The following is a 14,645-nucleotide window of genomic DNA, read 5'->3' as shown; positions in this document are numbered from 1 at the left end:
TCCATATCATGGAATATTATTGGCAATAAAAAAAGAGTTTTCAAGCCATGGAAAGATATGCATGCATATTGCTAAAAGAAAGAAGCCAGTCTGAAAAAAGACACATACTGTATGACTGCAACTATATGACACTCTGAAAAAGGCAAAACTATGAAGACAGTTGAAAAAAAAAATCAGTGGTTGCCACAGGTTTAAGGGGAGGGAAGGTTAGAGAAACAGGTTAAACACGGGATTTTTAGGGCAGTGAAACTATTCTTTAAGATGCTATAATGGTGGATACTTGACATTATGCATTTATTAAAACCACAGAACTATACAACATAAAGGGTGAGCCCTAATGTAAACTATGGACTTTGGTTAATAAGAACGTATATTGATTCATCAATAGTAACAAAGGTACTAAGGGAGGAGACCACCCCTCATATTGTCTTATGCCCAATTTCTGCCTCCAAAGAAAGAAAAAGTAAAAACTAAAAGGCAGAAGTGAAATCCACAAGCAGACAGTCCGGCACCACACCCTGGGCCTGGTAGTTAAAGATTGACCCCTGACCTAATTGGTTATGTTATCTATAGATTACAGACATTGTATAAAAAGCACTGTGAAAATCCCTATCCTGTTTTGTTCCGATCTAATTGCCAGTGCATGCAGCCCCCAGTCACATACCCCCTGCTTGCTCAATTGATCACGACCCTCTCACGCGCACCCCCTTAGAGTTATGAGCCCTTAAAAGGGACAGGAATTGCTCTCTTGGGGAGCACGGCTCTTGAGACAGGAGTCTTGCCGATGCCCCCGGCCGAATAAACCCCTTCCTTCTTTGACTCAGTGTCTGAGGAGTTTTGTCTGCAGCTCGTCCTGCTACAGTACCACCACACTAATATGTTAATAACAAGTGCAACAACTGTGGAGGGGGTATAAAGGAAGAACATGAGAACTCTATACTTCCTGCTTGATTTTTCTATAAACCTAAAGTTGCTAGAAAAAATAAAGTTGCTAGAAAAAATAAAGTCTATTTAAAAACTAAAAAAAAAAAAAAAAGGGAAGAAACCTATGCAGTCTTAAAATAAAAACCAAACAAAACAAAAGGTGAGGGAGCAGAATTTAGCCAGCTGGGGAAAAGGCATGGAGAGTAAGGCACAATGGAATAAAAAAAATATTGCAGGCAGAGGGCGTGGCTAAGCAGGGGCTAAGGTGGGTGATAAGAGAGAGGTTCATGTTCCCAGCATTGTATGGAGTGCAAAGGAATTGTGGGGTGGATAGAGATGCGGCTCACAGGACATTGGACACCATGCTGGGGAGTACTAATTTTATCCTGGGAGCAATGGGAAGTCACTCAACGGTTGTAAGAAGGGAGTGACCTGGAGATTTTTGCTTTAGAAAGAGCATTCTTGTCACATTATGGAGAATCTTTAGGAGAGAAAACAAGCCTGAAGGCAGGGAAGCCTTTAAGAGGCTACTGCAATAGTTCAAGTGCAGGGGGGTGATTGCTGTGCTAGTTATTCTTCATTTGAGCCTCCAGACCCACTCTGCTGTCTCTGCCCTACCCTGTGCAGAGAAACTGTTGTGATCAAGTTTGAGCAATTATGGATAAAACTGCTAGAAACATTCCTCTGAGGATTTTTGTGTGGATGTAAGTTTTCAACCCACTGGAGAAATATCAAGGAGTATGATTGCTGGAATGTATGATAAGATCACGTTCAGCTCTGTGAAAAACAATCTGTCTTCCAAAGTGCTTTACCTTTTGCATTCCCACCAGCAACGAATGAGAGATCCTATTGCTCCACACCCTCACCAGCATTTGGTGCTTAGTGCAGGAGAGAGGAGCCTGAGGACTGCATCTCCTGGGCTCCCTTGCCCTTTGGTGTCAGTTGGGTTTGGCCAGTAGGAGGTACCGACAAGACTAGAAGACAGGAGGAGGAAGGGTTGGTGTTTTTATCCCTTCACCCCAACTTCGGTGCTACACAGGCCACAGCCTCTTCCACATGCTCTCTTTGACCATGGCAACCACTGGGTGATCACAGCCCATAGCCTCTTCCATTGGCCCTCACTGGGTCTTGGGAACACAGTATCCTCCCACTGCCCCAGCCCTAGGAGTAGGAAGGGCATCACTCTTCTTGTCACCCAGGTGCCCCACTGCTCCTTGCTTTTCCATTCTCCTCCGCTACGCTTCTCAAATAGTGTCCTCATTAAAGTCTCTTCACTTCACCCATCTGGGGTGCATGTAGTTTTCTACCAGGCCTAATAGATACGGTTGTTATAGGAGTTATTAAGAAATTATTTTAGGCAGATAGAGAGGAAAAGGGGTCCTTGGGAAGTTTTTGTTTCTTTTAAAGCAGCTCCAGAAATGCTTCTTGTCTAGCAGGAAAGCCCCAGCTCTTAGAGCCGGGCTGGCAAGCTTTGATATGCAAATGCAGGCCATTAGAAACCGGGTCCACCCAAACATGGCAATTCCCACCCTTGTCCTCTTGCCCTTGCCCCTACATGTGCCTGGCAACATGACCACCCCCACATATCTCCACGTGTGTAGAACATCATGGCACCCTGCATTTGCATATTAAAAGGCTAGGGTGGGAGGGCCAGTTTTTCCATAGGCTACGTGAATGACATGCCTGGTCAAACCAATCCCCTGAGCCCTACCCAAGTCAGACACCACCTCCTCCAGCCTACTCATATAAGCAGCCACTTTTCTGCGGCACATGGGGTTTCCTCTCTTGGCTTGGAGCCCCCCCTCCAGTCTCTGTATGGGGGAGCTTCTTCCTTCTTTCTTACCTATTAAACTCTCCGCTCCTTAAAACCACTCTATATGTGTCCGTGTTGTTTTATCTAAATCAGCATGAGACTAAGGACCCTGGTGCTCCTCCAGTCACCGAAGCCATATCACAGTTGTCTTAACATAAGCGGTGGTAGGAACAGACACAGGAGACACCTGGAGAGATACTGCTCTTAGGCAATGAACTTGAGAATGACAACGGGGCTTGGACAGAGCAGGAATGAGGGAGAGAAGTACAGGCAGGAAGAAGTTGTGAGTGATTATTGGATTTTCAGCCTAGTCCCCTGGGTCGATGGTGATGCCATTTACTACCATTATCTTGCAGCTGCTTCTAGATGCTGGTAGGTTTAGGACAAACCACAATTATGGTGACTATAACTTGAATATTAGTAAAAATCATTTTTTGCTGGCATGTTACTTGTAAAAAACATACAGTTCAATGATTCACTTCAGAGTCAATAACTCTCTAGGCCTATTTAAAAGGTTTTCAAAAACATCTGTCCTCGATTAAACAACAGATACCACTTACAGACCATGTCTGTTTTCAAGGGTTTCAGAGCAGTAATTAATCAAGCAAATGAAAAAGCACAGGCCTCATCTTTTTATCCAATTAGGAGAAATCTCTGTGAGTCTCGATCACCAAACTGTTTGGTTTTGTTGAAATGCATTGTGATGAGTGACTGCTTTTATATCTTAGAAAATATCAATATTTACCTTAAACTTACAGTTTAACTAAAGGAAAACAAAATTGATGAATTAACTGTCACAGAATACATGGAGGCTGCTGTTGCGTTCCTACCACACAGCCCCATGAATGGGAAAAGGGGCCTATGACGCTTTATACTCTCCCCAGCTGGGAGACATTTCTGGCTTCCTCTTCGTGTTTTTGATTTTTTGTGTCCCATCCATTGACCACATGGGATGGGCTTGTAGACACTAGTAGTAGACACTAGACCATCTTCTTTCCTTCCTATCCCATGTGGGTTCTTCTCTACAAATATGCCAATTAGACTGGGCACGGCGGCTCACACCTGTAAGCCCAGAACTTTGGGAGGCCGAGGCAAGGCAAGCGGATCGCTTGAGGTCAGGAGTTAGAGACCAGCCTGGTCAACATGGTGAAATCCCATCTCCACTAAAACTATGAAAATTAGCCGGGCATGGTGGCAGGTACCTGTAATCCCAGCAACTCAGGAGGCTGAGGCATGAGAATCACTTGAACCCAGCAAGCGGAGGTTGCAGTGAACCAAGATTGTGCCACTGCACTCCAGCCTGGGCAACAGAGCAAGACTCCAACTCAAAAAAAAAAAAAAAAACCAAGTAGGCCAGGCATGGTGGCTCACCTGTGTAATCCCAGCACTTTGGGAGACAAAGGCGGACAGATCGCTTGAGTCTAGGAGTTCAAGACCAGCCTGGGCAACATGACGAAAATCGGTCTCTACAAAAACAAAAACAAAAAAAACCAGGTGTGGTGGCGCATGCCTGTAGTGCCAACTACTTGAGAGGCTGAGGTGGGAGTTTGAGGTTGCAGTGAGCTATGATCGCACCACTGCACTCTAGTCGGGAGCTGGCCTCTTCTCCCAAGTGAGCCAATCAAATTAAATACTCTTCTTTTTAACACCCAAGGAAGGGCACGTACAGTGGAGTTCTGGTCTGCGTGGGTAGAGGGAGGGCTTTCTGATGAGAGGAAAAACGCTAGGTCTGAGTCTGAGGGTGTGCTGGTGGCAGTGGGAGTGATGGGAGGGAAGATGTGGCACCAGGCTTGAGGGACATCCAGGCCAGGACTGGACTGCACTGAGTGCCAGGGCAACAGCTTTGGATGTATGCAACTTATTCCCAAATAGTTCAGAAAAATTTACATATATAAATATATGTATGTATGTGTACATACATACATACATATATGTGTACATAAAAAGAGGAGAGAGAAATCTGAGCCCAGGATGTCAAGGCTGCAGTGAGCTATGATTGTGCCACTGCACTCCAGCGTGGGTGACAGAGTGAGACCCCACCTCAAAAAAAAAAAAAACACGTCAAGTACAGTTCCAGGAAAAGCCAGCCAGATTGCTACTACTTCAGTTTTCTTCCTTTGCTCAGCACCAGAAGAACCATTCTCATACTTAATTTGAACTACCAGGATCTTCAAGTATTTAAATCGTTATATTCTAACAAAGTCAGCTGTAGGCTAATTGTTGCCCTATTTTCCAGCTGATTTCCACAAGACAGCAAAGATTCACTGAGGTTCAGGCCTGGAAGAGATGGCAGAGGCCATGGAGTCTAAGTGGCTTTACCAATGAAAAGACTGCCAGGTACGGTGGCTCACACCTGTAATCCCAGCACTTTGGGAGGCCGAGGTGGGTGGATCGCTTGAGGTCAGGAGTTTGAGTTCAGCCTGGCCAACATGGTGAAACCCCATCTCTACTAAAAATACAAGAATTAGCCAGGCGTGGTGGCACGCGCCTGCAATCCCAGCTACTTGGGAGACTGAGGCAGGAGAAACGCTTGAACCCGGGAGGCAGAGGTTGCAGTGAGCCGAGATCGCGCCACTGAACTCCAGCCTGGGTGACAGAGTGTGACTCTGTCTCAAAAAAAAAAAAAAAAAGACCAAGGAGCTCAATGTTTGGTGGAGCCAGAAGGAGGACTCACCCTTCTGACTCTTGGTTCAAAGCTCTTTCCATCTGTATGAGAAGTTGCCTGAGTCTGTACTTTTGGTTTCTAGTCCACTTACTCCTTAGCAGAACAGATCCATCCTAGAGAAATTTTAGGGAGCAAAATGGAGTAAAAAAAAAAATACCATGCCTACTTGAAATAAAGTTGCACTATAGTTTGCACTAGATAGAATAAAAATATTGAAAGAGGCAACTAATCTAAAAAAAAAACCCATACAAACAAAATCTACTTCCTTTCATATCATTAAAAACAGAACATTCTTACTGCGAAGTACAGAGAAGAAAATTAAATTAACCCATAATCGCATCACCCACAGACTTGTTAGCATTTTACTTTATTTCCTCGAAGGATTTTTTTTTAAATCCATGCATGACCAAAAAATGTAACTTTATATATATATATATGAAAAAAGTAACATCTCAATTTTGGAAATCCCTAACATATTAAAAATATTACTGTACTATACTCAAAAAGTTATAAAATAGAGGGATGGAAAAGAAAAGATAATATCTCACAGTTTCAGGGATGAGATGTAGGTACATCGGTTTTCTGCAAAGGAAGGAAGGATTAAGAGAAGAGGCTTGCTAATGTGTGGGGACTCATATGGGATTCTGGAAAGGTGTCCTTTCAGTATGGGGTGGTCGCTCCGGTGTTCCAGGAGCACATGGCTGTGTCTGGTCATTGAACGTTCCCAGGGCTTGTGGGTCATTTGGACAGCAGCCAGTGACAGCAGCCGGCAGATGGGCAGCTAATAGCCTTCCTTCTCCAGTGGCCCAGTGCCAGGGGACCATTACCCACACCTGAGTCTCCCCCCAGCTGGAGAGAAGGCAGGTCATCCCATTGCACTGTGGACTTCAGTTTGGGTCAGAGACAAGGACAGGCTCAACAGAAGGTCAAAGTGAGCACTGACTTGGCTAAGAGGTTCTCTGTGTTCTCATCTGTAAAAACATGACTCAAGAAAGGAACTGCTAAGCCAATCATCCAGAACACTAAAAATAGAATTCTCTACTGAGTCCTAAGCCAGAGCCAGGTCCTGGGCAAGTATGCTTTATATCCAAAACACAGTGTCCCTAGGCTGAGGAAGTGATGTATCCCATTAACACAGATTTCAGTGAGTTGGGGATCATGGGCTTATGCAGCAGTTGAGCTCCTCCCCGCTCCCGGTGACCCCAGGGATAGGAGTAGGGGGCTCACCCATGTCAGGAACAGTTCCAGTTTCCCTGATGAGGAGGAAATATGGCGTCATGGCTAAAAGTAGCGACTCTGGCATCTGACCGTCTGGATTCAAATCCCAGCTCTACTCTCTGTAGCATCGGGAGAAGTTCCTTAATTTCTCTTTGCCTCTATTTCCCATCTGTAGACTGGGGATAATAAAAGTACTAGTGGTAATTGTCACAGGGTTGTTGTGACCATTAAAAATGATAATGTGTATAAAGTGTTTGGCAAAGTACCTGGAGCTAAATGCTCTATAATTTCTAGCTATTACAGTAATTAAGGGTCACCGCCACCCACATACCATCCATGTTCCTCTCCTCTCAGCATGTGCACGTGCACACACACACACACACACACACACACACTAATGTCCCCAAATCCCATGAGAAGGCTGATCGCCAGGCACAGCCATCTCCCACAGAGCACTGTGGGATCCAGGGCACAAACTACAGCACTAGGGGAAAAGAGGCTCTCCCGGGCCTCAACTGCTGTTCTGGTACCTAGAGTCTCACAAAACCCTCCACACACATAGGAACTTCAGGGTTTGCGCTCAGTCTCTCTCTTCTCTTTCATTTCTACTGAGTCTCAACTGAGTCCTTCTTTCATGTGACACCTCTGAGCGGCTCTCATGGCTCCTCGGTGTGAATTAGAAAAGATACTCATGCCACCCAAGCAAATGCAACCCTGTGGCCAGATGTCAGCCCACTTGTCCCTTTGGCCAGGCCCTCTTGTACTCTGAACACCTGGACCTTGTGGCCTGAATGGCAGAATGGAGCCCACGACATGGCCTCTCCTTCATTTCTCTTCTCTTCCTCTCCCCTTCATCAGCACCCTACCCAGAACAACTTCTCCCTTCTCCCTGAGCCCCCTCCTGAAACAACATCAACAAAAAGCCTTAATGTGTATCAGCTCATGCAAATAGATATTTGGGTGGAGTAGGGGATATCATCCGTCTACACATGAGAATTATCTAGAATGTCAGTTAGGGACCAGCCAGAATACCCTACTAATACATGATTATCTTATTTAATCCACCAGGCACCCTCATGAGTAACTTTTATCATCTTCCATTTTAGAGATGGGGAAACTAAAGGCCAGAGAGGTTAAGTGACCTACCCAATGTCACACAGTATAAGTAATGGGGAACATCAAACCCAGGTATGTTTTACTGTAAAATCTACCCTCATAACCACTAGTAGGTTCATCATAGCTAATATGATCCAACTTCCCAACGGTTAAAACAAGAGCTACTCAAAGCAATCAAATATTAAGATGTAATCAGATATTATCAAAGCAGTTATACAAAGAATACTGTGAAGTAAATAAAAAATGAATCAATATATTTATCAAAAGTGATCAAAGTATAATTATGATGGGTAATCAAATCAATCAAGTATTAATATGCATTAGCATTTTCAACATCTAATTATAGAGCATATAATCAAAATATAATGGTGACAAGGGTAATAACAGTCACTCTTTAAAATTGCTCATCTAAAAATTCAACATTCTTATCCAACCGGAGACAAATCCGAACTCTAATGAATCTGATGGGCATCACTCAGAATCCTTCCCTGGTCCCACGAGGACCCCTCTAATTAGAGTGCTCGTATCATTTATCCTTTACATTTTGAAACTGAAAGAGGACTCTATTAATAATTACATCAGATCAGTCGGTCCAGGCAGACACAAACATATGAACACCTTACCTGTAATAAGCTCTGTTCCCAAAATTTAAAAAAATTGAACCCAAATTTTAAAAAATAATTATTAAGTCCATATTTTGTGTGGAACCGATGCTAGATATTAGAAATACAATTGGCAGCAAAATATCATTTCAGGCTTCATATTTTCTGTTAGGAAACACAGACAAGTAGATCTTAGAAGTTAAGCTCCAATGCAATAAACTTCACAAAACAGAATGCTATGGAAGCACATAGAGAGAATTGTTGCAGTTATCTATTGCTACACAAAATACCATCCCAGAACATACTGGCTTAAAGCAATAACAATTTTATTACATCTCATAAATGTTGTGGGTCACAAATTCAGGCATGGTTCAGCTGGGTGATTTTTGTGTTAACCGTGGCATCAATGGGGGTCACTCAGTGTCATCCATTTTGTGGGTGGGCTGGTCTGGAGAGTACAAGATAACCCAGTTACATGTCTTGCTCCCTGGCAGAGATGGCTGGAATGCTGGATCTAATTGGAATTGTCCCCTAGAGCACTTACATATGGCCTCTCTACCATGGTGGCCTTGGGTATTTGGATTTCTTACACAGCAGCTCAGGGCTCCAAAAGTGAGCATTCCAGCAAATAAGGTGGAAGCTGCATGACCTTTGATGACCTGGCTTTGGAAGTCACACCATTTCACTTCCACCATACTTTATTGGTTGAAGTAGTCATGAGTACACATCAAGGAGACGTGACATAGTTTCTACCTCTTTGGAGTGAGTGTCAAATAACTTGCAGCCCAATTTAAAAATTGCCTCAAGAACCAAAGCCAGATTTTGAGGATAGAGGCAGGATTCTATAGCTGAAGGATGACTAGGAATTAGCTCACAGAGAGAGGGGAAAAGGATAGGTGGAGTTTTGCAAAGGTCCCCAAGATGAAAGAAGGCATGGATTGTTTAGGAAAGTGAAAGTGGTGAAGCAGGGCGTGTAAGGAGAATGGAGAAAGAATTTGCACTGAACAAATGCGTGAGATGATGATACCGAATTCAAAATCTGGCGATGTTTGAGTTCAGGATCTGGCACATAAAAGATGTTCAATAAATGAGAATGAATGAAGAAATGAATGAAAGAATAAACAGAGTGAAAAGAGAAGGTGGTCTAACATAATGCTTTCAGACTTATTATTTTTTTTTTTTTTGGAGATGGAGTCTCACTCTGCACTCATCACCCAGGCTGTAGTGCAGTGGTGTGATCTTGGCTCACCGCAATCTCCGCCTCCCGGGTTCAAGCGATTCTCCTGCCTCAGCTTCCCGAGTAGCTGGGATTACAGGTACCCGCCACCATGCCCGGCTAATCTTTTTGTATTTTTAGTAGAGACGGGGTTTTGCCATGTTATCCAGGCTGGTCTCGAACTCCTGACATCAATAGATCCACCCGCCTCGGCCTCCCAAAGTGCTGGGATTACAGGCGTGAGCCACTCTGCCTGGCCTGGACTTTCTTTAACAGAAACCTTAGGAAGAAATACCTGTTGTATTTTTTATGTGTATAGTTGTGATATAGTACATCACAGCCTAATACACAAAAGCACATACACACATTTATATGTGTTAAAGTTTCAAGAAACAATATTAACCTGTATTATGGGTAATACACTGTGACATCCAATCTGTTCCCTTCAATTCTATTTCATTATTTTCCAAATGCGGGTCATAATCCACGGAATTGGTTCAAGGCTCACCAAGGCTTTGAGACCAGTGAAAGACACTCGTCTAAAAGAAAGAGAAAAGCTTAGAGACATGAGGGTCAAGTCAAGTCCTGATTCCATTCATTGTGATTTGAGCAAGACACACTTACCTACTTAGTTCCATAATATGTATTTCACAAAGTTGTTTTGAGATAAACAAAAGGTGCAAAAATGTCACTGAAATCTACAGAGCATAAAGTATAAAAGTGTCCTTTATTTTCTATCTTTCTTTTTTTAATATCCTGCAAATCTGACTTTCTGCGAGCGTCATGATTTTCAAGCAGGGAATGGGGCTGGGGGTCTCCAGGAACTGGATGGGAGGAGAGTAGACAGCCAGTTATTCTCTTCGCCTGTCAGGTCAATTCCCCACCCTTCTCTTCCTCTCCCCTTCTCTGTGGATTGCATCACCCAGCCTGCCTGGTCTTTGGCTTCCATTTTTATTTGACCACTGGGTGGCACCGGCGGGAAATCAAAGGACAGGAAGAAAAAGACATTGGAGTGCTGAGCCCTCTGTTTTCTCCCGGCCTGGCCACATCTTGGCAGTGGCTGCATTCTAATATGACCACAGCTTCTGCCTTCCCAATTCTGTAACATCATCCCCCACCTCAGCTTCTTCAGGCCTAGGAAAGCAGTAGCCCCACTGTGGCTAAACCTGGAGAGCTTCATACCCCCACTCCTCTCAGTAAATAACCTCGTCACTAAACCCTTTTCCATTAGACCCTCTGAGAGTGCCAGGTGTCTCCTGTGTGGTCTGACTGACCCAAAAGGTCACGTGAAAATGGGCCTAGGACCCTTTGTATTTGTGGACATGGGAACCAAGGGAGAGAATCAAAAGGCTGGGGTGACATCATTGTTGGGCATCCTAGACCTTCAAAACGTGTTTATCCTTCAGGTCATCCTATACTGACTATGATGTCAAAGCCAAAGGTTAAGTCCTGCTTCTCTCAAAACTCCCAAATATCTCCCACCTCTGAACTATTACCTAAAATTCCTTTAACCAAAGACCAAGTGTTTAATGGGGTAAACAGACATTAAAAACTTTAAAATATGAACTTCTTCCAGAGGAAACCCATTGAAGTGAACATGTTCTGGTTTCAGTTGGGGTTAAACCTCTCGTCTCGGTGCTTTTGCTCCCTGAATGATCATGACCTTGAGAAGGATGTGTGTGTGTGTGTTGGGGTAGGGGGGGGCGGGTGCTGTGGGGCAGGGGATAATAAGAGACACTGTGATGTTGCGATATAATAAGAAATATATATATATTGGTCTTTCTCTCTTTCCTGGCACACAGCTCCTAAAACCCTTGGAATCTGGGAAGAAATAAGGGTTTATTTGTGTGCTAAGGAGAAGACTGATGGCTGGGAGCTCCTGGATTCCTTCGGGATGGGGGCTGGTTGGATAGGAATCAACCATGTGATTAGAGGGCTGGAACTTTCAACCCCATCCCCAGACCTCGGAGGAGGAGAGAGTAGCTAAAGGTTGAGATGATCACCAATGGCCAGTGATTTAACCAATCATGTCTAAGTGATGAAGCCTCTATAAAAACCCAAAAGTACAGGATTCTGAGAAATTACAGGTTGCTGAACATGTGGAGGTGGTGGAGGGTGGTGCATCCAGAGAGGGCATGGGAGAGCTGTGCCCCTACCCCTGTAACTTGTCCCATTCATCTCTTCCATCTGGCTGGTCCTGAGATGTATCTGTTGGGGCTCACAAAACAATGCCCCAAAGTATGGTGTTTTGGCATGCTGAGTGCTTTGAACTACAGGAGAATCTCTCTGACCTCCTGATCCCCTGCCTCTCACCCCTCCTTCCCTCCCGAGGCCCTCTTGAAGCACAGGGAGGTGTTTTCTCTGCAATTTTCCGTCTCTGACTAAGGGAAGTTCCTCCAGAATGAATGTGGTTGCCGTGAACCTCCTCCCTGATCTCTACATTAACCAGAGAAGATTAATTCACACAGCAGGAGACTAGAGGACTCATCTCCCAAGACACCACGCCTGGACAGACTTTTCACCTGTTCTTCTGAGGGCAGCTACCTGAGAGATTTTATCTGCACAATGAGACAATCTTTATTCAAAATGCAGTCTCTCCCCTCACCGTCCAATAGTTTTTCACCACCACCCTCCAGGAACCTCCAAGCTTCGATTTCTTTCTGTAGTTCAAGCTGTTATTTAAGCTTCAAGTATCTTGCCCTTTTTTGAATCTCATACTTTGAGATTCTCCCATGCATATGCATGTTATAAATTTGCGTGCCTTTTCTCCTGTTCATTTGTCTATTGTCAGTTGATTTTCATAGATTCAACTTATCAAACCTTCAGAGAATAGAGGAAAATTTAAAACTCCCCTACATATCCTTTTATAATAAATGGGTAATACTAAGTCAATCACTTTCCTGAGTTCTGTGAGCAGTGGCAGCAAATGATTAAAACTTAGGAGGGGGTCATGGGGATCCCTGATTTATAGCAAGTATGTCAGAAACACAGGTAACAGTCCAGGCACCGTGGCTCACATCTGTAATCCCAGCACTTTGGGAGGCCGAGGCAGGTGATTCACGAGGTCAGGAGTTTGAGACCAGCCTGGCCAAGAGACCAGCCTGGCCAATATGGTGAAACCCTGTCTCTACTAAAAATACAAAAATTAGCCTGGCGTGGTGGCATGTGCCTGTAATCCCAGCTACTTGGGAGGCTGAGGAAGGAGAACTGCTTGAACCAGGAAGGTGGAGGTTACAGTGAGCCGAGATTGTGCCATTGCACTCCAGCCTGGGCAACAGAGTGAGACTCTGTCTCAAAAAAGAAAGAGAGAGAGACAGAAAGGAAGGAAGGAAGGAAGGAAAAGAAAGAAGAAAGAAAGAAAGAAAGAAAGAGGGAGAAAGAAAGAGGAGGGAGGGGAGGAAGAAAGGAAGGAAGGGAGGGAGGGAGGGAAGGAGAAAAGAAAGAAAAAGAAAGAAAGCAAGAAAGAAAGAAAGAAAGAAAAGAAAGAAAGAGGGAGGGGAGGAAGGAAGGAAGGAAGGGAGGGATGGAGGGAGGGAGGGGGAGGAAGGAAGGAAGGAAAGAAAGAAAGAAGCACAGGTAACAACTTGGACTTGTGTCTGAAGTGAGGGCAGTCTTGTGGGACTGAGCCCCTAACCTGTGGGATCTGACACTATTTCTAGGTGGATAGCATCCTTTCTCTTGGTTCCTTTTTTTTTTTTTTTTGAGCCAGGGTCTTGCTCTGTCACCCAGGCTGGAGTGCACTGGCACCATCATAGCTCACTGCAGCCTCAAGTCCCCAGGTTGAAGCGATTCTGCCACCTTAGCCTCCCAAGTAGCTGGGACCACAAGTGCACATCATCACACCTGGCTAATTTTTAAAAAAATTTTTGTAGAAACAGGATCTTGCTATGTTGCCCAGGCTGTTCTTGAACACCCAGGTTTAAGCAATTCTCCTGCCTCAGCCTCCTGAACTGCTGGGATTACGGATATGAGCCACCATGCCCAGCCAATAGCATCAAATTGAGTTACATTGTATGACAATTCAGTCAGTGTCTTCCACAAAGTGGAGAATTGCATGGTGTGGAGGGAAAGCACATACATTTTGGTGACCAGAATTGCAACAGTATAGGAGAGGAAAAGTTTTTTTTCCCAGCAAGCATTGAAGACAAAAAGATATCAAAACAAAGCTAGACTCTGGGAAGACAACCAGATGATGATACAATTCTGCCTCCTACCCAGGTAATCTTCTCATCTGTGAGGATATGGAACCCCAACCTCTTCCTGGACACCTGATGATCTGCTTGTGATGGGCTCAGAGTCTTGAAACACAGAACTATGAGCTCATCTCATATCCCAATCCAGCAGCATGGAAACCTCAGACTGCAAGGCCCAAGACTGGCACTTGTTCTCTCCCAACTCTTTTCTTTCTCTCTCTCCTTTCTTTTATCCCTTAATTCCTTCTTGCTTCCTTCCAAGATTTATACTATTACCTTTTAGGCAAAACATCCTGAACATGTAAAATAAACTAATTAAAATCAAGTCAATTTCCCAACTGTTATTTGTTAAGCCTATGCAAGATGTCAAATTTTAGTCATTTGCATACCTAGTATGCAATTTTTTCTATTCTGTGGGCCACGAGTATTCTTTTCTCTAAGTCAACTAATTCTTTAACTTAAACCCTGTTTAAGCTTCATCCTGGCTGGGTGTGGTGGCTCACGCCTGTGATCCTAGCACTTTGGGAGGCCAAGGCAGGTGGATCACTTGAGCTCAGGAGTTTGACACCAGCCTAGCCAACATGGTAAAACCTCGTCTTTACTAAAAACACAAAAATCAGCCAAGCATGGTGGCATGCACCTGTAATCCCAGCTACTCAGGAGGCTGAGGTAGGAGGATCACTTGAACCTGGGAGGTGGAGGTTGCAGTGAGCCAAGATCGCACCACTGTACTCCAGCCTGGGCAACACAGCAAGTCTCCATCTAAAAAAAAATAAAAAATAAAAAGTTCATCCTAAATAAACACATGAGTAAAATCACAGATTTGGTTAACTTGTATTTTTTTCTTATTACACATTAAAATAAATATATTAAATATATTTGTAAAACATATAATACT

At 44.1% G+C, this 14,645-nt stretch overlaps 1 long non-coding RNA gene across 1 annotated transcript in view, besides 4 other annotated features; it reads left to right on the top strand.

Moving 5' to 3' along the window:
- The window catches only part of LOC105374428 (uncharacterized), a 92,257-nt gene extending 78,185 nt beyond the window's left edge, over window positions 1–14,072 (top strand). The window contains exon 2 of the long non-coding RNA NR_134668.1: window positions 13,773–14,072. This is a non-coding gene — a long non-coding RNA (uncharacterized LOC105374428). The remainder of the gene's footprint in view (window positions 1–13,772) is intronic.
- Window positions 2,259–2,764: an enhancer, noted in NCBI's record as "NANOG-H3K27ac hESC enhancer chr4:42312337-42312842 (GRCh37/hg19 assembly coordinates)". NCBI's record gives its function as "activates a minimal SCP1, AML or CMV promoter by ChIP-STARR-seq in naive H9 embryonic stem cells {active_cell/tissue: H9 hESC(naive)}" and the evidence as "EXISTENCE:reporter gene assay evidence [ECO:0000049][PMID:30033119]".
- Window positions 10,167–10,699: an enhancer, noted in NCBI's record as "H3K27ac hESC enhancer chr4:42304402-42304934 (GRCh37/hg19 assembly coordinates)". NCBI's record gives its function as "activates a minimal SCP1, AML or CMV promoter by ChIP-STARR-seq in naive and primed H9 embryonic stem cells {active_cell/tissue: H9 hESC(naive and primed)}" and the evidence as "EXISTENCE:reporter gene assay evidence [ECO:0000049][PMID:30033119]".
- Window positions 10,378–10,672: an enhancer, noted in NCBI's record as "tiled region #13490; HepG2 Activating DNase unmatched - State 12:CtcfO, and K562 Activating DNase matched - State 13:Ctcf". NCBI's record gives its function as "activates a minimal TATA promoter and a strong SV40 promoter by Sharpr-MPRA in HepG2 and K562 cells {active_cell/tissue: HepG2 | K562}" and the evidence as "EXISTENCE:reporter gene assay evidence [ECO:0000049][PMID:27701403]".
- Window positions 10,583–10,632: an enhancer, noted in NCBI's record as "active region_21515". NCBI's record gives its function as "activates an Ori minimal core promoter by ATAC-STARR-seq in GM12878 lymphoblastoid cells {active_cell/tissue: GM12878}" and the evidence as "EXISTENCE:reporter gene assay evidence [ECO:0000049][PMID:35858748]".
- Window positions 14,073–14,645: the final 573 nt, after the last annotated feature.

The sequence above is a fragment of the Homo sapiens genome, chromosome 4, assembly GCF_000001405.40.
Source record: "Homo sapiens chromosome 4, GRCh38.p14 Primary Assembly".
Lineage (NCBI taxonomy): Eukaryota > Metazoa > Chordata > Mammalia > Primates > Hominidae > Homo > Homo sapiens.
Note: the sequence above shows the minus strand (reverse complement) of the source record. Positions and strands in the feature narration are given on the sequence as shown.